This window comes from Homo sapiens, chromosome 5 (genome assembly GCF_000001405.40).
Source record: "Homo sapiens chromosome 5, GRCh38.p14 Primary Assembly".
Taxonomy (NCBI): domain Eukaryota; kingdom Metazoa; phylum Chordata; class Mammalia; order Primates; family Hominidae; genus Homo; species Homo sapiens.
The window spans coordinates 38,881,281-38,908,829 of record NC_000005.10 but is presented as its reverse complement, the minus strand read 5'-3'; the positions used below and the strand labels follow the sequence as shown (position 1 = coordinate 38,908,829).

The window sequence follows — 27,549 nt, the reverse complement described above, 5'->3', positions numbered from 1 at the left end:
CTTCTCATCTGTGTGGGCTGATGTTCCTTTAGTCTTTGAAGTTGCTGTCCTTTGGATGGGTTTTTGTTTTGTTTTATGTTTTATGTTATTTGATGTCCTTGGGGGACATCTGATTTTGATATAAGATGGGTTCAGTTGACTGGGTTCCCATCTGGAAGATTTTAAGGGGCCAAAGCTCAGCTTAGCACTCCTGGTCTGCATGCTCTAACTCTGCAGGACTGGTATCAGGCCCCCACCTTTGTTCTCTGGCCCCTCAAGGCTAGGAACCTGCTGTGTTGGAGAGGCCGAACTGATCTCAGTCTGCTGGCCACAAAACTCCAATGAGTGGTGCAGGCCAAAGCACTTCATCAGGGTAGTGGCAGCAGGGTCCATGCTCACTCACATGTGCCAGCAGCTAGGGCAGTGCAGTGGTTTGTATGTGCATCAGCTGGGGTGGGGTACCTCTGAGAGTAGGGCTGCAGGGTTCCTGCATGCAGTTGCCCTGGTGGGGGGATGCAGGCAGAGGCAGAAGTGCCAGTGACAGTGCTGGCACTGGTACTGGCAGTGGTGGAGGCAGGAGGCTACCAGTCTTTGTGCATGAGTTTGCACAGGCAGCAGTGGCAGTGCAGGGGTGGGTAGAGTTGCCAGCATCCATGCATGCATTCACATTGGCAGTTGTGGTGGCACTGGGAAGGCAGGGCCGTGGTTGTCTGTGTGCTGGTTTGCAGCAGCCACAGTGGCAGCACAGGGGTAGGGGCAGAGTTGCTGGTGTCTGTGCATGCATTTGTGCCAGTGATGGTGTTGGGGGGGTTGTGGGGCCATGCACACATTCACGCTGGTGGCAGTGTCAGCAGGAGTGGGGGTGGGGCTGCTGGTGTCCATGCACTCTTTCACACCAGAAATGGAAGCACCAGGGGAGGCAGGGCCACACGTTGTGCTTATGCCAACAGCAGCAGTGGGATATGTGCACACATAAGCCATTGGAGGAGAAGAGGCAAGGTCCACCCACACGTGTGCACTGGCAAAGTGGTGGTGGGGTGACCATGGACAAGTGCATACTGGCAAGGTGGCATTGGGTAGGCTGTGGTTGGGGGAGGCTGCAGGTGGGCTGATGCATGTCAGTAGGGACTGTTCTGCTGGAAATCTCCAATGGTCAGGTGCCATCTGCCAGCAAAGCAGCTATGATATGGTCCCCTAGGAAGCACCATAGTTGGGCATCTGAGGCTGCAACTCCAGCTAGTGTGGCAAGGCTGGAGCCTCAGGAGTGGCCAGCAGACAGGGGATCACTCAGATTGGACTGGCCCCATCTCATGGGTAAGACCATTCTCCTCTGTCTAGGTCTCATGGTCACCCTTTGGCCAAAGTCTCCTAGAGGAGCAAGGCAAGGCTTGGGGGATTTGTGTCCCTGGCCATGCTCCACTGCAGATGTTTCTGCACCAAACCCTCTGGGCCCTGCCCAGGATGGAGCTCTATTCCTACTACCTCTCTAAGAAGCTCTTCCTGCCAGTCCAATTGTCCATGAGGGTTGTGGGGTTTCCTGCTGCCTGGATTCCAAAGGTCCACGGCAGGGGCAGGCCGCCTGTTCAACCCCTTCCCCAGGAGTTGCTGGGGGCCAAGAACGAGTGTGGGTGCTTCATAGCCCTGTGCAGGGTATGCAGCTTCCTGACCCTTCAGCCCAGCTTCTGCATTCTCCCTGTGTCCACTCTTAATGTAGGGTTTTCTAGGTATAGAATCATATCATCAGCAAAGAGAGTTTGACTTCTTTTCCTTTTGGGATGTGTTTCTCTTGCCTGATTCCTCTGGCTAGGACCTCCAACTTCTATTTTTTAAATATGATTTCTGCATACTAAAATGGTTTAAAAAAATTTTGGCTGCTAAGTGTGAAAGTGTTAAATAGCAACTGTCACGAAATTAACAAAATTTAACAAAATTAAGGTGTTTCAAATATTAAAAAATAACTTTCCTATTTTTTTTAGTTTTTGGTTTGTGAGAGGACAAGTAATTTTTGATCTGATTCAGAACATTTCTTTGAAAGAAGAACTGTTTTGGAACATAACATTAAAATGTATCTCTCTATCTTATAAAAATATAATCTTTTTTGCCTAATAATTGACATTTAAGTTTTTTATTTTAGTTGCTGACTCAACACTTTATACTTTAAGTTAAAGGTGGCCATATATTTTTAAATCTATTAAAGCAGATTTCAATTTGCTAAATAAGTCATTGGAGAAGCCAATATTAAATTTAAAACTTTATTGAAATACTCAGGGACAATATCTAAGCTCAATGCAAAATCTTCAGCTGGCTTGTAAATTACTATTTATAACAAAAAAGTGCTACAATACAGTTGATAGCACTATATTTTATAAACAACATCATTTATACCATCAATTCATTTAACTCAATGTCTGCTCACTATAATTATACTTAAGCATGGTTATAATACACATAAAGATTTGAGTTTTCCAGCATTAAGCAAAGCGTGATCAGAAGTAATAAAAAATTCCTATAGGTTCACCTTCAGTAGATTCATCTCATTTTCTTGTCATCATCAAAAGCAAAGTTAAGCGTTTTCAAGATGTTAGATTATTACTATAATCTAAAAGAAACTCTATTCTTTTGCCATCTTCCCTTTTTACATAATTTTAGTTATGTTGGAATAAATTTTCAAAAAAAAAACAGAAAACGTAAAGCAAAATAATAAAAATTCTTTTCTAAAACACACTGAGGAAAATGCAACATTCCTCTCAGGAACAGGGCCTTCCAGAACAAAGATTATTGAGGAACCCGTACACCTAGGAAAAATTACTGGAGTCTCAATGGGCTTGAGGATAGGCAGACACCACCAGGGAAGCGGGGAGGCCTGCAGAACTTGACTAATGACCATCCTCATGTGTGGATTCTGATTAGCGGTGCCCACTACCCCCAAATTAGAGTCACTGCTTTAAAATGGTCCTCCCAGAATCAGACAGAAAGAGTTCTGCCAGCTGCCATACACAAATAAGAAGAATAATAAAATACATATGTATAATCCTTCCTTTGGCACTAAAATAGCCAGGACTTGAATCAACAAGATCTAGAGGTTGTAATAACACCAAGAGAGAGAACACACAGAATTGAGCTCTGATTAAGGGTGGAGCTCTGGTGTCAGGCTGCCTGGACGTGAGTCGCAGCTCAGTCAGTGCCTGGCTGAACCAGTTAAATTACTTAATCTTTCTGTGCCCTGATATCCTCTGGCATAAAATGAGGATCATAAGAGCACCTACTGCGTGTTGTCAGGATGAAAAGAGAGGAGCACAGAGGGCCCTTCGAGCTATGTATGGCTCACAGTAAATGTTGACTCCTATGATTTTTTTTTTTTTTGAGATGGAGTCTCACTCTGTTGCCCAGGCTGGAGTGCAGTGGCACGATCTCAGCTCACTGCAACCTCCACCTCCCAGGTTCAAGCGGTCTCCTGCCTCAGCCTCCCGAGTAGCTGGGATTACAGGCGTGTGCCACCACGCCTGGCTAATTTTTATATTTTTAGTAGAGATGGGGTTTCACCATGTTGGTCAGGCTGGTCTCGAACTCCTGACCACGTGATCCACCTTCCTCGGCCTCCCAAAGTGCTAGGATTACAGGTGTGAGCCACTGCACTCCTAAGATTATTACGATGTCTGTACCATTCAGTAACTGCAATCAGGGCAAATCTCTTCAGTTATGGGTGCAAGTTGCCTCATCTGTAAAATGGGCAACAGTTATCCTTTATGACATTGAGTTGGAGGGAGATGGAAGCAGGATTGGGCCATCAAATCTCCTGAGGCCCATTTGAGTTCTCAGACATAGTTATTTAGCAGGAAAAGTTTGCAGTCAATACTGAGGAAACCCTGCCACAGAGCATGCTGGAGAGGGCACACAGTGTGGCATCACCGGAACAAATGACTCACAAATAACCATTAAGGTTCCAAATGTCATTACATTTCCAAACATGGCCTCAAGTTGTTTAGGATGAGACCAATGCTTTCCTTGTCATTAACACTTCCACTGTCCTGAATTAAAGGTGTATACTAATTTATATAGCTCCAGATCTACTGTGAATCCAGCAAAGTGATGGCTTGAAACCATTTTGGGAAAATGAAAGGTAAGAGAGAAGATAGGCAGTATAAATAAAATACTACTGTCAACTGTCTGAGGTGGATGGTTTCCCATTCACTTCTCATGAGGCACCTAATCTAATTTTTTAAATGCTACCCCGCCTCTGTTTAAATATTTTTCTCTTAGTTTTTGGTACAACCAAAATCTCTTAAGGAAACCAGTCTAACTCCTAAGACCTACTTCTTTGGGTTAAATGCCAGGGGCTGAACATACCAGCTTCAAGTGTGGTGAAGTTCTGACCACTCCATTCACTCCATTTCCAGAAGTGGCTGGCATCAGCACACCGTACTCGCGCCATGTACTCTGTGGCAGGTTCCAGTTCACTTAAGAAGTACTCACCGTTCACCTTGATGGAAACATTGTACTGCTTGATCAAAAAAGAGAAGAAAAGAAAAAAGAGAAAAGAACAAGACAGAAACATTGGTGAGTGCATCCCATTACAAAGGCAAACCAGAGCACAGCAAATCCTGACCTGGAGTAAGATCAGTTCTTCTTTGGGGGGAAAAAAATCTTCAAGGCCCATTTCCTAACCATAAAAGTGTATGATTAATTTCATGGACCTTTTAAAACAGATGACCCACACCATTTGAACCTACACAGAAATAAGAGTTTAAAGTGATTTTATTCATCAGTGTCTCTGTTCAGGACAAAAAAAGAATTTTTGAAAATAGAAAATTAAGCAGGGTTCTTACTTGCATCATTTTTCCTTCACCATGGAGTTCAATCTGACACAAATATGTGAAATTATTCCTTATGGAGTGCACCTTCCAGGTCATGATGGCATTTGTGGCATTTACATTTTCAAAGTTGACACTAAAAGGATTCATTAAATAAACTGTCAAAAAAAAGAAAAAGAAACAAAAAAATTCAAGCATAGATCCAAAAAGACATTGGTAATAGGCAGTTTATTTCTTCATTTATTTGTTCAACAAGTATTTTTGTTCACTTTTGAGAACATGACAAACAAGAACTTACAGACAAGCTAGAATGAGCCAACTACAGCCTTTCTCTCTCAATGATTCTACTGCATGCATTGAACAAAATACAAAAAGAAACTACTTGAGGACTCTTAAAATTAAACACAAGTAGGCAAATTGGGAAGGGGAGTCAAAACTTGGAGAAGATGGCCCACAGCGGAGAATTTTAACAGAACTCAGAGTGTAACCAAAATAACATTAACAATGTCAAGGATATAATCCAAAATATGTAGACTGTGCTAGGAATGCAACATCTTTAGATGAGAGGGGGATTGGCCAGAACAGCTCAGGCTCTGTTCCAGTCCTCCCTAGAAAGAGGATGTCCTTTAATGCTTTAGTGCAGCGAGTCATGTGTTGTCACGATATAAAATCCAGGATGGATGCTTCTGAGGTCTCTCAGCTATGGTACAAGTGAAGAACTCAGAGATAAGATTCTGTTTGCCCTGGGCAGCTCTCCGCAGCCTTGGGGACCAGCAGCAATAAATCCAAGGCTTGTGTTATCCCTTGCTGCCTGTCTGATGGTAACAAATCCATTTCACGTAACTTGTTGTGTATGAGTGTATTCTGTCTCACTGGACTCGGACAGTTGATAACCAGTGCACAGAGAGCACCTGCTTCACAAAATTGGCACAGCAAGCAGGATTCAATCTGACAGAACAATGGCTCATTGGTGAAGTAGAAGGGGCAATACCCTATCTCATACCTGGCCCACAGTGGAGACATCAGACCAGCTAGATGTTTTATGGGGAAGAAGCAGTGATAAGAGAGACACAGGCCACACATACACCCCGAGAATGTGGGTGAGGTGGCTGCATGGATTGTGGCGGAGGAAAGAAGCGTGGAAACAGGGGAGCTTAGTGCACATATGTGATTGCTCCTTCCTGGGTATTCAGATGCATCTGGAGGCATCTGAGAGAGAATTAAAAAGAGGTCCTCTGATGGTCCTTGAGACATCTGAGAGGGAACCAGCATGCACAATGCAGGCCTTCACAGAGAACGTGACTCAAGATCCAAAGGACACACATAGACATAAGCAGTAAGCTCTCAAGCAACCTGGTTGGTCTGTTTGTTGGATAAAGGGACACTGCAGACCCAAACGGTGCAGTTAGGGTTGTTGCCAAAGTCTCTAGGTGCTTACCGAAGGGCACTGGCCTAATACTCTTGTTAAGAGAAAAGAGAAAAAGAAGAAAATTCAGACTTTTGTGGAGTTCTTGGATACTGGAGCCCACATGACAATATTTCCTTGTTCTTTTAGGGGAAAAATTAAACTGATGACATTGGGAGGTTTTCGGACAAACATAGTGACCCAAGATGCTTATCTGGTTGTGGGCAGGGCCCGTTGGGCCATTTTAGGTGCCAGAGACCATGGTTCCTATCAGTCAGTGCATCATAGGCATTGGCATTTTGGCTGCTTGGGGCACAGAAGGCCACCTCCATCTGAAGGGGTATGTTCCCCCAACACAGCTAAGGATTTAAGCCATAACAGTGGGGCATATCCACTTCCGCCTGCCACCTAAGCTCCCCAAGTTCCAATGGCTTATTCAACAAAAGTAGTACTCTTATACATACTGAGTGGAGAATAGGACAGTATTTTGTTAATTGAGGACTTAATACAGATATAAATATTATAAACCACCCTCTCACAATATAACAGCCCAGTTTGGCTGGTCGCAAAAGGCTCTCCAGGGCATGGAGACTAACCATGGACTATCACAGGCTAAATGCCAAGGCCACTTAAGCTGAACACCAAAGAAGTATCCCCGATACAGCCAAACAAAAGTGTTGTCTCTTGTGGCATCCTCTAATAAAAATGAGGCCCAGCAGCTGGTAGGCCTCTTTGAGTACTGGAGACCACATATACCTAACCTGGGTGTCCTTTTGCTCTCCTTAGTCAAATTGACCAGCAAACCCACCAATTTTAAATGAGGTTCTTTGCGACAACAGGCCTTGGAAGCCATTCAACAAGTTGTGGTCCAGGCACTGCTTTTAGAACCCTTAAAGCCTGCTAGCTCAATAAAATTACAGATGTCCAAAACCTCCATGCACGCTGATTGGAGTCTCTGGCAAGAAAAAACTACCACTGGGATGTACCAGCCTCTCACATTTTGGACATATAAGTTGCTTGAAGCAGCCCCCAGATACACCGCTTTTAAACAGCAACTCCTTGCTTGCTACTAGGCACTAGTCTCTGGACACTGAGCATCTTATGGCCAGAGCACCATACATGACACTACAACATGAAATGCCCATTCTTACTTGGGTTCATGCAAACTCCACCAATCAAATTAGACAGGCTCAACAGAGCTCGATTATTAAATGAAACTGGCACATCGAAACTGGCACATTTAAGATCATGTCCACCCAGATCCCAAGGGACCAGTAGGTTCCATGTATAAATGGCTAGCTAACCAAAAGTGACCAAGTAACCTGTTGAGGATGTTTTGGCTCCTCCTATGGGTTCAAAAATATGCCTACCAATGGTCTGGCGTGGTTTACTAACAGTTCTGCCAAACTAAAAGCAGATGGGGTCCATTGGGCTGCCACCACCATCTGGCCAATAGATAGCCAACTTTTGACTGAGACTGGACATGGACATTCTATCCAATAGGCTAAACTACATACAGTGGCAATGGCCACGCCAGCCGCCTTACTCACCATATCTTGCTGTATTTTCACAGACTCATGGGCCATTGCCAATAGCCTAGCCATGTTGTCAGAAGAAAAACAACTGAGTGACTGGACTGATTAAGGAATCCTCTGTGTGGGACAAGAATTATGGAAAGAGCTTGCAGCATAAAAGTTGTCAGAATCAAAATGGGGTCATTTATGTTAAAAAACAAAATCCTGAAAATGGAGCCAGGTAAGGTCACGCAGGAAGGGCTCTCTTACACCAATGCCTGAAAACAAAACTATCCTGAAACAACCTGTAAAAGCCACAACCATGCACAAAGGTCAACACAACCTTACACAAAAAAAATACTTCTACAAGGACATCTGTCCAGCAACTGGATTATCCAGCCTTACACTGACACCGCCCTTGTTATTGATCCTTGTAGTCAAAAATAATTATCTGAAAACATTATGTAATCCTTCTCATTGTTTCTTTAAAAACCTTTGTCTTTGTTTACCTTCCCAAATACATGTATTCCCATTGCAATGTCTACTCCTGAATATATATCATTTTCTTTTAGAGTCTCCCTCTCTGTTATTTAGATTGGCATACTGGTATCTCAGAAGCAAGACTAAGATGGCTAAAGAGAAGGCTCCATCGATTGTCCCACCTGCAGGATCACCAGATTAACAATTATATGAAAAAAAGCACCTTCATAAGACTGAAAAGTCAAGTAGGCACTCACAGTACCTGGCTTTGACATCATATCACTGAAAGAGTCACTGAAAAGGGGAAGAAAGATATTCTTAAATCACTGATGCCACCCCTCCCCCATTCCCTGGCAGCAGCCCTGTGTCATGGACAGAACCTCTGTGCACTTAGGAGAGGGAGAGCACGGTGATTGAGAGACTGCATGGAATTCAGTGTTGCCCAGTCACTGGGAAAGCAAGCAAAACCAGGTTGAACTCAGCTGATATCCGCCTACAGAGGGAGCATTCAGATGAGCCCCAGCCAGAGAGGAATCACCCATCCCAGCAGTCGGAACCCAGTGATTCTGTCGAGGCTCACCACTGTAGGCTGAAGTGCTCTAAGGCCCTAAATAAACTAGAAAGCCAGTCTAGGCAACAAGGACTGCAACTCCTAGGTGAATCATGGTGCTGAGCCGGGCTTAGAGCAAGCAGACTTTGGGGAAAGATGACCTACTAAGACACTAGCTGGGAAGGCTAAGGGAGTGTTTGTGCCACCCCTGCTCCAACCCCAGGCAGCACAGCTCATGGCTCCAAAAGAAAACCTTTCCTTCTGCGTGAGGAGAAGAGGGGGAAGAGTAAAGATGACTTTGTCTTGCATCTTGGATACCAGCTTATCCAAAGTAGGACAGGGCACCAGTCAGAGTCATGAGGCCCCCATTCCAGGCCCTATCTCTCAGATGACATTTCTAAAGACACACCCTGGGCCAGAAGAGAACCTGTTGCCTTGAAGGGAAGGACCCAGTCCGAGCAGGACCCATAACCTGCTGACTAAAGAGTACTTGGGCCCTGAATAACCAGGAGCAATACCCAAGTAGTATACCATGGGCCTTGGGTGAGACTCTGAGACGTGCTGGCTTCAGGTGAGACCCACTACAGTGCCTACAGTGAGAGACACCCTCTGCTTGAGAAAAGTAAAGGGGATTTTGTCTTGCACCTTAGGTACTAACTTGGAGACAGGGGTAGAGCACAAGTGGGCTCTTGGGGTCTCTGATTCCAGGCCTTGGCTCTTGGCTGGCATTTCTGGATCTGACCTGGGACACAGAGGAGCCCACTGCCCTAAAAGGTGAGTCCCAGGCCTGGCAGCATTCACCACAAGCTGACTAAAGAGTCCTTGGGCCTTAGGCCGGACACAGTGGCTCACACCTGTAATCCTAGCAACTTTGAGAGGCCGAGGTGGGTGGATCACAAGGTTGGGAATTTGAGACCAGCCTGGCCAACATGGTGAAACCCTGTCTCTACTAGAAATACAAAATTTAGCCAGGCGTGGTGGCAGGTGCCTGCAATTCCTGCTACTTGGGAGGCTGAGGCAGAGAACTGCTTGAACCTGGGAAGTGGAGGTTGCAGTGAGCTAAAATCGCACCACTGCACTCCAGCCTGGGCAACAGAGCAGGTGAGACTCTGTCTCAAAAAAAAAAAAAAAAAAAAAAAAGATATTATGTAAATAGAAACAACAAAAAGTTAAAAAGTAGAGAGACAAAGTTAAAGGGTAGAGTTTTTTGCCTGTTTGTTTATGTAAGCAGTATTATGTTGTTATCAGCTTAAAATAATGAGTTATAAGATAGTATTTGCAAGCCTCATGGCAACCTCAAATTTTTAAAAAAATATGTATAACGAATATGCAAAAAGGAAAAAGCAGAAAATTAAATCATACCACCAGAGAAAAATCACCTGCACTAAAAGAAAGACTTGAAGAAAGGAAAGAAGAAAGATAAGACCATAAAACAACTAGAAAACAAATTTTTAAATGGCCAGAGTAAGCCCTTACTTATCAATAATAACATTGAGTGTAAATGGACTAAACTTTCCAATCAAAAGACATAGAGTGGCTGAATGGATTTAAAAACAAAAGACCCAATGATCTGTTGCCTATGAGAAATGCACTTAGCCTATAAAGGCACATATAGACTGAAGATAAAGGGATGGAAAGATATTCTATGACAATGGAAACCAAAAAGAAACAGGAGTAGCTTTACTTATGCCAGACAAAATAGATTTCAAGACAAAACCTATACGGAGATGCAAAGTAGGTCATTACGTAATTATAAAGGGGTCAATCCAGCAAGAGGATATGACAATTATAAATATATACACAATCAACACTGGAGCAGCCAGATATACAGAGAAATATTAGAGCTACAGAGAACGATGGACCCTAATACAACAACAGCTGAAGACTTAAACACCCCATTTTCAGCATTAGACCAATCTTCCAGACAGAAAATCAACAAAGAAATATCTGATTTAATCTGCACTATAGAACAAATGGCCCTAATAGATATTTACAGAAATATTTTGTACAATGGCTGCAGAATACATTCTTCTCCTCAGCACATCAATCACTTTCAAGGATAGATTATATGTTAGGTCACAAAACAAGTCTTAAACAGTTTTAAAAATTGAAATAATATCAGGCATCTTCTCTGGTCATAATGGAATAAAACCAGAAATCAATAACAAGAGGAATTTTGGAAACTATAAACTACATAGAAATTAAACGATATGCTCCCAAATCAAGAAATTAAGAAGGAAACTGAAAAATTTCTTGAAACAAATGATAAGAGAAACACAATGCACCAAAACCTATAAGATGCAGCAAAAGCAGTACTAAGAAGGAAGTTTATAGCCATAAGTGCCCACATCAAAACAGAAGAAAAACTTCAAATACACAACCTAATACAGAACTAGAAAAGCAAGAGCAAACCAAACCCAAAGTTAGTAGAATAAATAATAAAGATTGGAGATGAAATAAATGAAATTGAAATGAAGAAAGCAATACAAAAGACCAACTGGTTCTTTGAAAAGATAAACAAAATTGACAAACCATTAGCCAGACCAAGAAAAAAAGAGAGAAGACCCAAATAAATAAAATCAAAGATAAAAAGGGAGATATTACAACTGATACTGCAGAAATTCAAAGGATCATTAGTGGCTACTATGAGCAATTATATGGCAATAAATTGGAAAATCTACAAGAAATAGAAAAATTCCTAGACACATAAATCTAAGAATATTGAACCATGAAGAAATCCAAAACCTGAACAGACCAAAAACAAGTAACAAATTTGAACTTGTAATAAAAAGTTTCTCAGCAAAGAAAAGCCTGGGACCCAGTGGCTTCACTGCTAAACTCTACCAAACATTTAAAGAACTAATATCAATTCTACTCAAACTACTCTGAAAAACAGAGGAGGAGGGAATATGTCCAAAGTCATTCTACTAGGCCAGTATTACCCTGATACCAAAACCAGAGAGAGACAGATAAAAAAATGAAAACTACAGGCCAATATCACTGATGAATATTGATACAAAAATCCTCAACAAAATACTCCCAAACCAAATTCAACAACACACCAAAAAGATCATTCATCATGACCAAGTGGGATCTATCCCAGGGATGCAAGGATGGTTCAACATATGCAAATCAATAAATGTGTTACATCATATCAACAAAATGAAGGACAAAACCCATATGATCATTTCAATTGATGCTAAAAAAGCATTTGATGAAATTCAACATCCCTTTCATGATAAAAGCACTAAAAAAAAAACGGGTATAGAAGGAACATATGTCAACACAATAAAAGTCATATACGACAGACCCGTAGCTAGTATCATACTGAATGGGGAAAAACTGAAATCCTATCCTCTAAGATTGGGAACAGGACAAAGATGCCCACTTTCACCACTGTTATTCGACATAGTACTGGAAGTCCTTGCTAGAGCAATCAGACAAGATAAAGAAAGGAAGGGCATCCAAAATAAAAAGGAAGAAGCCAAATTTTCCTTGTCTGCAGATGATATTATCTTATATTTGTTAAAACTTAAAGACTTCACCAAGAAACTATTAGAACTGATCAACAAATTCAGTAAAGTTGCAGGATACAGAATCAATATACAAATATCATTAGCATTCCTATATGCCAACAGCAAAAAATTTGAAAAAGAAATCAAGAAAGTAATCCCATTTACAATAGCAACAAGTAAAATTAAATACCTAGGAATTAACTTAACCAAAGCAGTGAAGTATCTCTACAATGAAAACTACAAAACATTGATAAAAGAAATTGAAGAAGACTCAAAAAAGGAAACATATTGCATGTTCATAGATGGGAAGAATCAATATTGTTAAAATGTCCATTCTACTCAAAGCAATCTACATAGTTACTGCAATCCATATCAAAATACCAAAGACATTCCTTACAAAAATAGAAAAAACAATCCTAAAATGTATATGGAACCACAAACCCAGAATTGCCAAAGCTATCCTAAGTAGAAAGAACTAAACTGGAGGAATCACATTAGCTGACTTCAAATTATACTATAGAGCTATAGTAACCAAAACAGCATGGTAATGGCATAGAAACAGATACATAGACCAGTAGAACAGACTAGAGTACCCCAAATAAATCCAAACATCTACAGTAAACTTATTTTTTACAAAGGTGCCAAAACACATACACTGGGGAAAGGACAGTCTCTTCAATAAATAGTGCTGGGAAAACTGGATATCCATAAGCAGAAAAATGAAACTAGACACCGATTTCTAGCCACATAAAAAATCAAATCAAAATGTGTTAAAGACTTAAATCTAAGACCTTAAACTATGAAACTACTACAAGAAAACATTGGGGAAACTCTCCGAGACATTGGAATAATTTATGCAAGTAAAATTTCTTGAGTAATACCCAACAACCACAGGCAACCAAAGCAAAAATGGACAAATAGAATCTCATTAAGTTAAAAAGCTTCTGCACAACAAAGGAAACAATCAACAAAGTGAAGAGACAAACCACAGAATGGGAATACATTTTTTCCAAACTACCCATCTGATAAGGGATTAAGTAACCAGAATATATAAGAAGCTCAAACAACTCTATAGGAAAAATAATCTCATAATCTGATTTTAAAATGGTCAAAAGACCTGAATAGACATTTCTCAAAAGAAGAAATACAATTTGCAAACAGGCATATGAAAAAGTGCTCAACATCATGGATCATCAGAGAAATACAAATCAAAACTACAGTCTAGCTAGTGGTCTATCAATCCTGTTTATCCTTTCAAAAAACCAGTGTTTGGTTTCATTGAGCCTTTGTATGGGTTTTGGGGTCTCAATTTCATTCAGTTCTGCTCTAATTTTAGTTATTTATTTTCTTTTCTAGCTTTGGGGTCAGTTTGTTCTTGTTTTTCTAGTTTCTCTAGGTGTGATATTAGATTGTTAATTTGAGATCTTTCTAACTTCTTGATGCAGGCATTTAGCACTATAAACTTATTCTTTACACTGCTTTTGCTGCATCACAGAGATTTTGGTATGTTATGTCTCTGTTTTTGTTTATTTCCAAGAATTTTTTAATTTCTTCCTTCATTTTGTTGTTTACCTAAAAGTTTTTATTTTTTTTTTGCTTTTATTGAGACTTGATTTATGGCCGAGCATCTGGTTAATCTTGCAGTATATTTTGTGTGCAGATGAGAAGAATGTATATTCTGTGGTTGATGGGTGGAGTGTTCTGTAGATGTCTTTTAAGCCCAATTTGTCCAGTGTTGAATGTAAGTCCAGAATTTCTTTGTTAGTTTTCTCCCTCGATGATCTAATGCTGTCAGTGTGGTGTTGAAGTCCCCAACTATTTTTTTGTGGTTGTGTGCTTATCTAAGTCTCTTTGTAGGTAATAAAATAAGAAGTACTTGTTTTATGAACCTGGGTGCTTCTGTATTGGGTACATATATATTTAGAATCAATAAGTCTTCTTATTGAATTGAGCCCTTTATCATTATGTAGTGCCTTTTTTTTGTCTTTTTTAACTGTTGTTGGTTTAAAGTCTGTTTTACCTGATATAAGAATATCTTTTTGCTCTTTTTGGTTTTCCATTTTTATGACAGATCTTTCTCCAACCCTTTACTTTGAGCCTATAGATGTCATTACATGTAAGATGGGTCTCTTGAAGATAGCAGACAGATTGGTCTTGTTTTTTCTTTTTTTTTCTTTTTCATTCAATAATTAATTTAATTCACTGTGCCTTTTAAGTGGGGGTGTTAAGACTGTTTACATTCCAGATTTATATTGATATAGGAGGTTTTGATCCTATTGTGAAGTTGTTAGCTGGTTGTAGTTTCTATTCTGCGGTTCCTTTATAGGGTCTATGGGCTAGGTACTTAAGTGTGATGTTGTGGTAACAGGTATTGTTCTTTTGTTTCCACATTTAGAACTTCCTTAAAGATTTCTTGTAAGGTTGGTCTAATGGTAACAAATTCCCTTAGCAATTGCTTATCTGAAAAAATATTTTATTTTACCTTCACATATGAAGCTCAACTTGGCAGGATATGAAATTCTTGGTTGGAATGTCTTTCCTTTGAGAATGCTGAAAATAGACCCTCAATCTCTTCTGGCTTGTAAGGTTTCTGCTGAGAAGTCCACTGTTAGCCTGATGGGGGTCCCTTTGTATGTGATCTGACCTTTTTCTCTAGTTGCATTTAAGATTTTTTCTTTAGTGCTGGCCTTAAACAATCTGGTGCCTATATGCCCTAGTGATGTTCGTTTTGTGTAGAATCCAGCAGGTGTTCTCTGGATTTCTTGTATCTGGGTGTCTACCTCTCTAGCAAGATTACAGAGGTTTTATTCTATTATTCCCTCAAATTTGTTTCCCAGATTGATTACTTTTTCTCCTGCTCTCTCAAGAATGCCAACACTTTGTATGTTTAGTGGCTTTACATAATGCCATATTTCTTAAAGACTTTGTTCATTTTTTAAAATTATCTTTACTTTTGTCTGACTAGGTTTGAAAAAATCATTCTTGAAGCTCTGAAATTCTTTCTTCTGCTTCATCCAGTCTATTAATAAAGCTTTAAATTGTATTTTGAAATTCCTTAAGTGAGTTTTTCAGTCCCAGTAGTTCTAATTGATTTCTTTTCAAGATGTTTCTCTTTTTTCATTTCCTGGACTGACTTAGAAGTTTCTTCATGTTGATTTTCAACTTTGTCTTGGATCTCTTCGAGCCTCCTTACAATTGATGCCTTAAATTCTTTATCTGTCATTTCTGAGTTTCCATTTGGGTTCAGGAGCTAGAGTGATCCTTTGATGTTGTCACAACATTTCGATTTTCATGATGCCAGAATTCTTATGCTTTTTCCTTCTCATCTGGAGGGGGTAAGGTCTTTTGGCTTTGCACCTATAGCCCTAGGTACTTCTGTCAGCAGGTTTCATTTGGAGCTGCATGGCTTGGCCTATAGGCCAGTAGATGACACTTGCGGGTAAGAGCCAGCTGCTACACAAGTAGGCAGGTAAGTATCCTGTCTGTGTTTACTGTGAAGTGCTCTGTTTTTTCAGGTGAAGCCCTGGACAGTAGAGTGCCCAGTACTCTGGGGTTCCTGTTCTGCAGAGGTAGGGTGACAAATGTGGGCAGAGCTGGAGCCCCTGGCTTGCCCACAAATACCCCAATGGTGAGCACAAGCACTAGCCCTGGCAAGGGTGGCTAGAAGAAGCTCCTGTAAGTGCACTTAGGTCTCTGTAGGGGTAGGGGGTAAGGTGGCGTCACCAGCTCCCCATCCTAGATAGGCAGGAACTTGAGTTGTTTCCCTATCACTCCCCTGTTCTAGGACTTGTGACTCCTAGTTCAGGTGTACCTTGTAGTCTATCTGCAGTCCACAATGTGGTTGAAAGCCATGGGAAATGTCTGTTTTGTGACTCTGTGGGAGTGGTTTCACAGCATAATCTCATGACTCAACCCAATACAGATAGCTTTATGGCTTGTCTGTTCTCCGATGTGGCAGTACTGCTACTTCTTGTATGGGGGGACATCACCTTTGGGCCCACGTGAGTGGATGTTGGTTACGGTGGTGTTGGCTAGTTGAGTCAGCCTAATCTCAGGCTTCAGGGGAAGTGGTTGCAGTGAGATAGGTATTTCCACAGTTCCCAGGGAGCTAGATGACCCACAGGACAACATGTATGAGTTCTGAAGGGGCTAGACTGGGGTTGGAGTTCAGGTGCTGTCTATGATGGGGTGGGGCAGGCTGGCCACCAGGTCTCCAGCCAAACTAACTCTCAGGCAGGGGCAGGCAGAACACTTAGATGGTGGGAGCCCAAGGGAATATCCCAGGCCAGTGGGGGCTGGGTTTTCAGAAGGGCTCTGGGCCACAGCTGAAATGTTCAGGTAGTGGCAGGGAGGTTAGGCTATGGGCCCTTCACCAGGGAGGGCAGGATTTCTCAGCTGAAGCAATGAAGACACACAGCTGTGGGGTGCATGACATGCTCCTGCTTCCTCCCATCCAACTGATGCTGGACTTCACTTTTGGGGGCACGCACGGGTGCCACACCTTACTACCTCTGGGAGTTTTTCCCCAGAGGAACTCAGAGCCATGACTGCCCACAGTGTTCAGGTGAGGGTGTGGTTATTGTGCTGGAGCCCAAGCCATGAGCCTTGCCCGGAGAAGGGCGGCAGGGGTGGGGGATCATGTGATCTGCAGTCTGGGTGCTTCCTGGAGGAACGCAGAGCCACACTGGCCATAGTGTTCAGGCAGGGGTGCGGTTGCTGCACTAGAAGCCCAAACCAATGAGTCTTAGTGAGGAGCAGTGGGACAGTCTGGCCACTCCTCCGCACCGTGGCAATGGCCGCTATTGGGGCTACAGCAGCTAGCACCAGGTTGCTCAGGGATCCAAGGCCTGTGGAGCTCCATGTGGTCTTGAATGGTACCTCTCTAAAGACTCCAGGCAGTTCTCTGTTAGTCCAGAGGCCTGGGGCAGGGGCAGGTGGGTTCTCATGTGCCCAGGATTACAAAGGTCCATGGTGTAAGTGTGGATTCCCCCAAAACTCTCACTTGTTCACCCTTTCCCCACATTAGGGAGCCTCCCCTGGCTCCACACCAGTCCCAGTAGGAGCTGCCTGGGCTTTGCTCATCTCTGTTCTCCATGGGGCCTGCTGCCTCCTTTGTAAATCCTGATGTGAGGTCTCAGACAATCCACTTAAAGAGCTAGTATTTATAGACCATTTTGTTTCCTCTCTGTGAGAGCAGCGCACACTAGCTGCGTCTAGTCAGTCCTCTTGAACTAGAAACAAAGCCATCTTAAGAAAGGACCTTGCATCCTTCCTGGGAGCACCTTGCCTCCTTCCTGATTTCTACAAAATCAGACTGTTTGGTCTGCACACCTGATTTAATATTCTGTTTGCTCTGCACATCTGAGTTAAAATTTTTGCAAGTACTCTGACCTTGGTTTCATTTTGATTTGGTTATGTGCATCTGTAAATAATTTGGCTCTTTTTCTCTTGCTTGCTTTTCAATGTCTTCTGAGAACAAAGATATTGTAAATAGTGGCCACGCGATGGCCAATTAAAATCCACTAAGGTGGCTAATCACCATCTAAAACACTGGTCTAAATCCCTGTCATTCCCTGACAGGATTTATAGGATTCATTTGGTCTGGAGAGATTAAGAGCAAATAGAATGGGATTCCCCCAGTATTCGGGCATGCCAAGTATTCTGCCTGGCTACATGGCTCTTCCTTGTGCACAGTTTTCAGTCAATAGTCATCTTAAGAATCATTCAACGTCCCCAGGCTTGTTTTTCTCGGTACCAAATTAAGAAACTACAACTATAGAATTTTTTTAAATGCTGGTATATAGAGGCTCCCAACTTCTTTATCTCTTTTTTCTTTTCTTCTTCTTCTCTGCTTACTCTGAATCTATTGACTTTTTCACTTGAGTTAAGATATTCTACTGTTGCTAATTTCAAAAGTCAATCAGAAGTTTTTCTTAAGGCATTTCAGCCAAGATAAGACAAAAAAAAAAAAAAGAGGGGGCTTTCAAATTACAACAGCTCTGTGGCAACCAACAACCTAGCCTTGTACACCTAAGAGTCATCCTTTCAGAAATGTAAAATTAGGTTTGCCTTGCTAGCAGTTGCTTAGGGTGATATAATAGCTAATTAAAAGACTGAAAATCTAAAAAGAAAAGAACTAGATAAATGTTTATAAAAATTTAGGCTCTCAGATTAACAAGTCAAAATCTTGAGTTCAGAGCAATAATATAAGTTATTTCTGCCTGGCATAAAAATTTTGCTTTGTCTGCCATGCATGATGACCTTGTTAAAATACAGACTCAGGTTCAGTATATTTGCCAGGTTCAGTAGGACTGAGGCGGGGCCTGCGATTCTGCACTTCTACAAAGCTCCTACGTGATACTGATGCTTCTGGTCCATAGACCACACTTTCAGCAAGGTACAAGCCCATAAAACAAACCTCAACAATTTCAATGAACACGTATCACATAGACACCTTCTACGACCACAGTGAATTTTTGTTAAAAATTAATAACAAAAAAATAAAATTTCATTTTAGAAAATTTGAAACACAAATTAATTCATGGATTAGAAATGGTATCATATATAGTTTGTTATAACGAAAGCACTGCAATGTTAAGTTAAAACTTATTGGACTGTTGTGGATGCCATAAAACTGGCATTTCAATGGAAATGTGTAGCTTTAAATATTTTATTTGTGAACTAATATCCAACTTATGAAAGTAAAAGGAACAACAGAAAAAAATCCAAGAAAGTAGAAGAAAACAGGTAATAAAAATTACAGTGGAAATTCAACAACAACAAAACACAATAAAAAGAATTAATTTTCAAAGCAAAATTGGTTTCTTTTCAAAAAGAAATCAAAGTAGTTAAACTTCTAGCAAGATTACCAAATAATAAGAGCAAAGGCACATATAGATAATATTGTGAATGGAAAAGAAGATACAACCACAGATACAGCAGAAATGAATATGATGATAAGACAATTACTTCAAAATAGACTAAAAGACATTGTAAAAGTGATAAAAGATATTAGAGAACAATATAAATCAGATTTAGCAAACATCATGGATGAGGTAACAGAACTCAGGAAAGAAATAGATATAAAACAAAAAATAAATTCAAAATTGAAGACGTTAAACTGGAAGTAGTTACCAGAGCAAAAAAACACAACAGATAATTTCTTAAGCAAATAGGAGGTAAAGGGAGAAAAAATTGTTTAAAATAAAATAAATGAAGGGATAAAAGTAATTCAAGAGAAAGCGACAAATATTAAAGATCAGAAAAAAGATTCAATCTAGAGTTAGCAGGAATTCCTGGAAAAGAACACCAAGGGAAGGCGGCCAAACAAATACCAAAAACTATAATTCAAAAAACTTCCTGAATTAAAAAAATATTTGATACTACATATTGAAAGAATGTACCATATTACTGAACACATCAACCTAGAATAGCCAACACCAAGACAAAGGTTTTAAAGAAAAAGAAAAAAATCCTCTGGGCATCTAGGCAAAAAAACCAAGTGACTTCTAATGGGGAAAAAAATAGATTATCATTACTACTAGGCTTTTCATCAGCCTTGCTGTATGTCAGAAAAAAAAATGCAACAATAAAATTCACGATACTCAAGGAAGAAAATATAAGCTAAAAATTTTATATCTATTCAAACTGACCATTAAATACAACGACCAGAGTAAAACTTTCATTGACATTCAAAAATTCAGGGGACTGTTGTTCCCATAAACATTTTCTGAAGAAGGTACTAGGGAATAAATTTCAGATAATCAAAATGACCAGAGAAATATTTGCATAAGCTCTAATGGTGAACATTAAACATATATACTTGTGGACTTACGAGATGCAGCAAGATTTAAAAGGGAGATGATGTAACAGGTAATATCTATGTGCTCTGACAATGATGATATAGTACAATTATTTTTAAATGAGAAAGGAGTTAAAATTTAAAAATTTCAAAATGGAGAAAGAAAAGAGGGAAGGATATATGCTAACAATGATTTTAACTGTTTTCAGGAAATTTTTAAGTGCCTATAGTGTTATAGGAGTTAAAAGGGGTCCTTGGGAAGTTTTTGTTTCTTTTAAAGCAGCTCCAGAAATGTTTCCTGTCTTGCAGAAAGGCCCTGGCTCTTAGAACCTCTCCCTCGACCCCACCCCCGCCACCCCACCCAAACTTCAGTGTGCAAATGCTGGCCATTAGAAACAAACTGGGTCCACCCAAACATGGCAATTCGGGCCGCCTTCTTCCTTGCCCCAACATGTGCCTAGCAACATGGCAGCCCCCACATATCCCCACGTGTGCAGAACATCAAGGTGCCCTGCATTTGCATATTAAAAGGCTAGGGCGGGAGGGCCAGTTTTTCCCTGTGCTATGTGAATGACATGCCTGGTCAAACCAATCCCCTCAGCCCTATGCAAATCAGAAACCAACTCCTCCAGCTTCCTCTTATAAGCAGCCACTATTCTGCTGCACATGGGGTTTTCTCTTTGTTCAAATCCCTCCTCCGTCTGTCTCGCATGGAGGAGCTGTTTCCTTCCTCCTTCCTTCTTTCTTGCCTACTAAACTTTTCACTCCTTAAAACCACTCCACGTGTGTCTGTGTCGTTTTATCCAAACCGGCGCGAAACGAAGAACCCTGATGTTCCTCCAGTCATTGGAGCCGTATCAGTAGCACAAAAAATATGCAAGAAGTATACAAGGGAAAAATTTAAAACTTTATGAAATGATTTTAACAGAGGCCTAAAGAAATATAAAAATATACTATGTCCACGCACAGGAAGATTTAGTAACATAGAGATTTTGATCTCTCCAAGTTGCATTTATAGATTAAGTGCAAATCCCATGAAAAGCCCAGGAGGGGTTTTCATAGAATTTGGTAAATTAATTATCAGTTTTACATAAAAGAGTATGGCACCAAGAATAGTGAGGATATTTCTGAAAAAGAATAGGGTGAGAGACTTATCCTACCCGATGTCAAGACTCATCTGAAACTTTAAAAGTTAGTGTAATACTAGTGCAGGAATAAACAGACCAACCAGTGGAATTAAGAATCCAGAACTCTCTTACACTTTCATAATAGTGAAAGAGGTGGCATGTCAGATCATAGGGAGGGAAGAGTTATTTGATAAACAGATATGGAAAAATGGTTACCAAACAGAAAAAATCAGTGTCATAACCCTATCTCACTTAATATAAAAAAATCAATCCCAGATGGATTTGGAATTTGTCTTCTTAAAAACCTTTAAACTTCTTGCTAAAAACTTATAGGTGACTGTCCTTCTGATCTTGGGGTAGGAAATGATACCTTTAAAATATTTTTATAAAATTATCTGCTTTAAAAATGATAAACTTTTGTTAATCAATAGACATATAAAAGAAAGTGAGTTACAAATTGGGAGAAGGTATTAGTAGTAAAGAAATGGACAACAATCAGTATCAAGAATATATGAATATTCTTACCAACAAAAAATGTGCAAATTGCATAAGCTTTTCATAAAAGAGAAAACAGATGTGGCCAAAATACTCATGAGATTCAATCTCAAGACTATCATGAAATACCATTTTATAGCCATTTAATTGGCAATAATACAAAAAAGTGCCAATACCAACTTGGTAAGAATATATGAATCTACAGGGTGGGAGTATAATTGGTATTACTCCTTTGAAAAACAACTTGACCTTATCCTGTAAGTTGAACATATTCTACATCTGATCCAACTCTTAAGTATATATGCAAGAAAAACAATTGTAGATGTGTACTAGACACATGTATAAAAATGTTCATATTAACATGTACCCAAGAGCAAAAACTTTGATACAACCTGCAAATCCATCAAAGGGGATGCATGAATAAAATATTTAATATTTACACAATGAAATACTACGCAGCAGTAAAAGTGAATGGACTACAGCAACACTAAACAATATGGGCAAATATTAGCAATTTAATATTATATAAACATAATTACTGAATTATTACATACAGCTTGATGTCCTTTCTATGCATTAAAACCAAACAAAATAAAGGCATTTTTACCATCACATAAGAAATGAGAATACACACGCACACAATTTAAAGTGATAATTATCTTGGCGGAAGGAGCGAAGGTGGGGGCGTTACAGGATGAGATATGACAGAAGTTATTGTTAGAGTCCTAGTTTTGAAGTTGGGTAGTAAGCTCATTGGTGCTCGTGACATTATTAAAAGAAACAAATAATAGGGGATGCGTGCATCCATGAGGAGAAACGTGGCATGAACAATAGGTATAAATTCTAACTCTCACCTCCGCTGTGAATGAGGCAAAGATCTACAGCACATTTACTTGATCACACAGTCTGTGAAACAAAGACACGTTAGTGGCCACGGTGGGCTGTGACAACTCTAGTCTCACCTCGATGAGTCAGGTTAAAAAGGATATTGACACTTCTCTTCCTTAAGTAATTTTCAGCTATGAGTGTGAAGTTATAGGTTTCTTGTGAGTCTTGAGTTATTTGCCAATTACACCAGTTTTTGTGTGTACAAAGTTTCTTTTCCCCAGAAAATCTTTAAAAACAAAACAAAATAACACAACCATTACGAGGTTTTTACTTTTGTCAAAGCAAATGTATCCCTTATCCCTCAGGGCATACTCAGTGACTGTCAAACTATGTTCCCCATAATGGCATTGATCCATCCATCACCAACAAATACCAATAACGAAAATATTGTTTCTACAAATTTGACATACGTGCTGAAATGTCTTAACATGAATCACTGACTCCCCGTGGGTGGCAAGAACATCCCTTAATTTACTTGGAATATTCCTAAAAAGTCAGAAATTGGGTAAACCCAGATTATCAGACAGGACTATTTTCACGTCAAGGTATACATTAACTGTCTTTCTTACCATGCTATGCTAAATGTTCCTTTTTTAAAAACCTCAGGTAGAAAGTATTAGACACTTGTCACCACTTAAAGGTTTCCTCTTGACCTTGGCAGGTGGTTCTGAAATATTTGTTCAAATTTCCTGCAACATCTAAGTGTAGATTTTTGCCATGTTGTCACAAGCACCTCAAGCAAGGAAGAAGTTGTCAATAATGTAACCAGAGCCAACTTACGATTCAAATAAAGTGTAGCTTTGGGAAGGTTGTTTAGACCACCCCAAGGCAGTGTCCGTCCCAGGATCCCAAGTACAGTGCAAAGTCTTGAAGTCCTCGGTTTCACAAGAAAAGTCCTTGGGCTCCTCAAGTACTTCTGTCCATACAAAGGAAAACAGACCTAGTTAAATCTTTTTATTGGAAGATAAGCCAAATGGAAAGCTCTGTTTAGAGTCTGAAGCCACAGAGTTACTGTGAACAAGGAAGGGGTCACTGAGGTGGAAGGCTACCTATCAACAGCCTCCAAAAGTCACTTTTCAGGGGTCACCTCATCTTGGCCCCTTCTCCTTCCTGCCCTTGTGATTTTCTGAGATGTCATGGGCATGGATGGTCCATGTTATGCAAGTGGCTGATGCTATGTCCATTTGACAAGGGTTGTATCCCCAGTGCCTGCCAATGTTTCATTTCGGGTGCTGTGGCTCACAGAATGCTTCGGGGATGCAAGGAAATCAGTCAGATTTGTACACCTGCTAAATTCAACAGGCAGGAGCTGAGTGTTCAGGGAATGGCAAAGCACCTCCAAATCCCCAGCGTTACTGCTGCCCTTAGTGGTCATGCTAAGGGGACATAGATGAACCAGGCATCCAGGAGACTGGAGACTGACTTTGGCAAGGGAGGCAGGGAGGGAGATGTTCCCTACTGTGCAAGGGAAGGAGATGCTCAAAATACAGGAGGCCACTAGTTGTGCACACACAAACCTATATAAAAAAATGTTCCCACTCCACTAATGTATCCGATGGAACCAATTTACTGCACAGTTAAGAACAGTAATGGCCTCCATTTGCTGATCTCCTACTGCATGCAGCTATTACTGGGGCTAGGCACTACCCACATTCATTAATCCTCACAATCACCATCACTGTCCCCATTTTACAAAGGAGGAAACTGGCTCAGAGAGGCTAGGAAACTTGGCGAGATGACACACCCAGCCAGGGAAAGAAGATTCAAACCCAGGTCTCCTAGGCCACAATCCTGGCTGACTCCATGGTTGTCCAATCTGTAGCTCCTACCCTCCCTCCATGATCCCGAAGTAATTCCAGCATGGCTGGGCAAAAAAGGGTATTTTCCCAGTGGTCCAGGTCATGACCTGAACTGTGTCTTCTTTAATACTATTGATTTCTAGGAATACAACTCTCAGTAAGGACAAGAAAACAACAGGAAATCCTGGAAATATTACTAAAGGACATCGACTTCAGAGCCTCTCCTAGAAAACTTGGGAAACAAAAGAAAATCAAGATCATGGGTAGAAATGTTTATTTGTCTTCTAGTAAAGGAGATTTAATCTATTCCTCAGGAAATGAGAAGAAAGGGCCACAGAGAATTTGCACACTTACTTGAGACAAAAAGAACGATGCCTTTCATGCCTTCACTGACATTTCCTTGACTTGCCTCACAATAGATATTTGTCCCTTTATTCCTAATGAAAGGCACACTATTCAAGTTGAATGCAGTTACATGTGGATCAAGTTGTTCTCCATGAATCTGTTTCCCTTCCAAATAACAGGATACATTATTTTGAATGTTCCTAGAAACGTAACAAATGGTAACATTGGTGCCTTCTTCCACCAGCTTATCTTTAGGGAAAACGAACAATATATCCTGTCCAGTAGAATCTTGTACTGCAAGAAAAAAAAATAGCCAAGTTAGAATCGCACTCAAAATTCAAGCCTCTTAAAACAAGTTATCCATTTGCCTTCAGCAGATAACTTTAGCTTTTTCTACCTCCTGGAGAAAATAGCAACCTAAATTTCTCTGCCAAACCTCTACCCTCTGGTGCATGCAAGACAATCCTTTCCACCACTGCTCCTATTGTTACACTGATACCACTGCTGTTGCTCTTACTGCCACAGACAGCACATTACTATTACCACTCTGATAATTGCATGATTGCTATTGCTGGGTTATTGTAACTGCTTTCTATCAAGTCCCAGCCCTGCTGAAGGCCATGTTAAGTGTTTATGTACATTATCTCATGTCGTTCTTAGTACCTTACAACAACAGGTCAGGTAAGACTTAGCCAAAGTTTGCTCAGTTAGAAAGTGGCAAAGCCACATTCAGACTGGCAAGGTCTATGCATCTCCAAAATCCCTCGTAATCTCTTCATTGTACTGGAGATCATATCTCTCCCTACCTTCTCAGAAATGCGAGTCCCTCAAGTGTGAGGGGTCTTTAAAACATTCATTTTTAAAAGTTTTTAAAAAATCCAACCTTCAAGCAATTCTTGTGCCTCAGCCTCCTGAGTAGCTGGGACTACAGGCATGTGCCACCACACCCAGCTGATTTTTTGTATTTTTAGTAGAGCTGGGGCTTCGCCATGTTGTGCAGGCTGGTCTCAAACTCCTGAGCTCAGGCAATCCGCCCACCTCAGCCTCCCAAAGTACTAGAATTACAGATGTGAGCCACCACACCCAACCTCTTACTATCTTTTTAATATCTTTTCTTTCCCTGTGTATGTGTCCTTCTTTCCATAGTAGGATGTAATAGTTAAGCACATGACCTCTGGAGCCAGACTGTCTGGGTTGGAGTTCCAGCTCCAGCACTTAGTGGCGTGGTGACCTTGCATGGCTTCTTTAACCTCTCAGTGCCTCAGTTTCCTTATCTGTGAAGCGAGGATAAGAAGTCCTTTTATAGGACTGACATGAGAACTAAATATGTATAGTACTTTAAAAAGTGACTAGGTCATAGATTTAATTCAATTATTATTATCTCATTAGTATTATTAGTTTAACGTGCGCAAATAATCTCATTTTTCAAATAACACACCACTTTCATTTTTCCATATTCCACCCCCCTTCCCCCCACCCCGCCGTCTAGATTCGGGGGAGCTACAATTTGAGTCCACCATCTGTTGTTTTTTTGGTGTGTGTGTGAGAGACAGAATCTTGCCCTGTGGCCCAGGCTGGAGTACAGTGGTGTAATCTAGGCTCACTGCAACCTCTGCCTCCTGGGTTCAAGCGATTCTCCTGCCTCAGCCTCCAGAATAGCTGGGACTACAGGTGCCCGTCACCATGCCCAGCTAATTTTTATATTTTTAGTAGAGACAGGATTTCACCATGTTTCCCAGGCTGGTCTTGAACTCCTGACCTCAAGTGATCCACCCGCCTTGGCCTCCCAAAGTGCTGAGATTACAGGAGTGAGCCACCATGCCTGGCCCTGTTTCTGTAAATAAATTTCTATCAACAAAGCTGTCTCATTGGTTTACACACTATCTATGGCTGCTCTCACACTACAGTAGCAGAGTTGAATAGTCACAACAGCGACTGTATGCTCTGAAAAGCTTATACTATCTCTTATCTGGCCTTTCACAGAAAAATGTTCCCAACCTCTACTCTAGACGCATACACATTTTGTGTTGCTCAAATAAATACATATGTACAATTTATGTCTTGCTTTGTTCACTTAGCATTTATAATACACAAACTTTACATGTTTTGAAAACAAATACAAAATTGCCTGAATCTGCACAACTATCTCAATGAGTAAGTTCAGGAGCAAGACTTCAGACTATATCTTCCAGTGCCAAGTTTCACACCTGTGTTTTTTAGTTCCCATAGGAGCCAAAGGAAAATAATGTCAGTGTCTACCCAGGGTTCCTCAAAGGAGATTTCCACTATTTGACTATTGCTCCTCATTAAAAAATATATTAACCCTTTTCACTCTTGTAACCACCTCACTTCTTACCACTGACTTCCTCCCAGGAACTCCAGTTGCTCCAGAAATTTGGCTCAGGGAACTTGGCATCGTCCACCAAACTCTTTATTCTTACAAAGTGTGTGGCACATTCCAAAGGGAGCTCAGATTCCCAGCTCCAATGCAGAACCTGGTTCCACTTCACAGTGGTGCTGTAATTCCCCTAAAAGCAAAGAGAAAACAATTGGAGACACATAGCCATCTTGTCCTATAAAATAGCTTGACTTGACTTATCCCAAAGCACAAACCTAAGACCCCATTGCAGGTCCACGATATGTGCCAGTGAATTCCACTTCTGCTAGTCAATTCCCCATGTTCTGATGCCTCGCATGGGAGCCAGCTATGACCTCCTGCCTTTTGAAAACTCAGCTTCCAATCACTATGGTCTTCCAATTCCCGGGGACTCATGTGGAATAAGCGGGAGAGAAAACAGAAGCTACTCAGGTCTTGGGGGAACAGATCAGAGACAGAAGGT

General features: G+C 40.8%; 1 protein-coding gene across 18 annotated transcripts in view, besides 2 other annotated features; it reads right to left on the bottom strand.

Moving 5' to 3' along the window:
- Positions 1–27,549, bottom strand: part of OSMR (oncostatin M receptor) — a 99,568-nt gene that overhangs the window by 36,750 nt on the left and 35,269 nt on the right. For 9 of the 18 annotated variants that reach the window (XR_007058659.1, XR_007058660.1, XM_017010019.2 and 6 more), the window contains exons 4-9: positions 27,066–27,237; positions 24,719–25,003; positions 23,346–23,481; positions 22,640–22,791; positions 4,806–4,948; positions 4,327–4,477 (exon numbers count right to left, since the gene is read on the bottom strand). Coding sequence is in view for 15 of the 18 variants with exons in the window: in XM_017010019.2 (XP_016865508.1) it covers positions 4,327–4,477; positions 4,806–4,948; positions 22,640–22,791; positions 23,346–23,481; positions 24,719–25,003; positions 27,066–27,237 (1,039 nt within the window). In the remaining 3 variants the exon portion in view is untranslated. Of the gene's footprint in view, positions 1–4,326; positions 4,481–4,805; positions 4,949–22,090; positions 22,792–23,345; positions 23,482–24,718; positions 25,004–27,065; positions 27,238–27,549 lie in introns of those variants that run through there. The other 9 variants (XR_925661.1, XM_011514161.3, XM_005248384.1 and 6 more) reach the window with 2 other exon arrangements.
- Positions 197–697: an enhancer, noted in NCBI's record as "H3K4me1 hESC enhancer chr5:38908235-38908735 (GRCh37/hg19 assembly coordinates)". NCBI's record gives its function as "activates a minimal SCP1, AML or CMV promoter by ChIP-STARR-seq in naive H9 embryonic stem cells {active_cell/tissue: H9 hESC(naive)}" and the evidence as "EXISTENCE:reporter gene assay evidence [ECO:0000049][PMID:30033119]".
- Positions 698–1,198: an enhancer, noted in NCBI's record as "H3K4me1 hESC enhancer chr5:38907734-38908234 (GRCh37/hg19 assembly coordinates)". NCBI's record gives its function as "activates a minimal SCP1, AML or CMV promoter by ChIP-STARR-seq in naive H9 embryonic stem cells {active_cell/tissue: H9 hESC(naive)}" and the evidence as "EXISTENCE:reporter gene assay evidence [ECO:0000049][PMID:30033119]".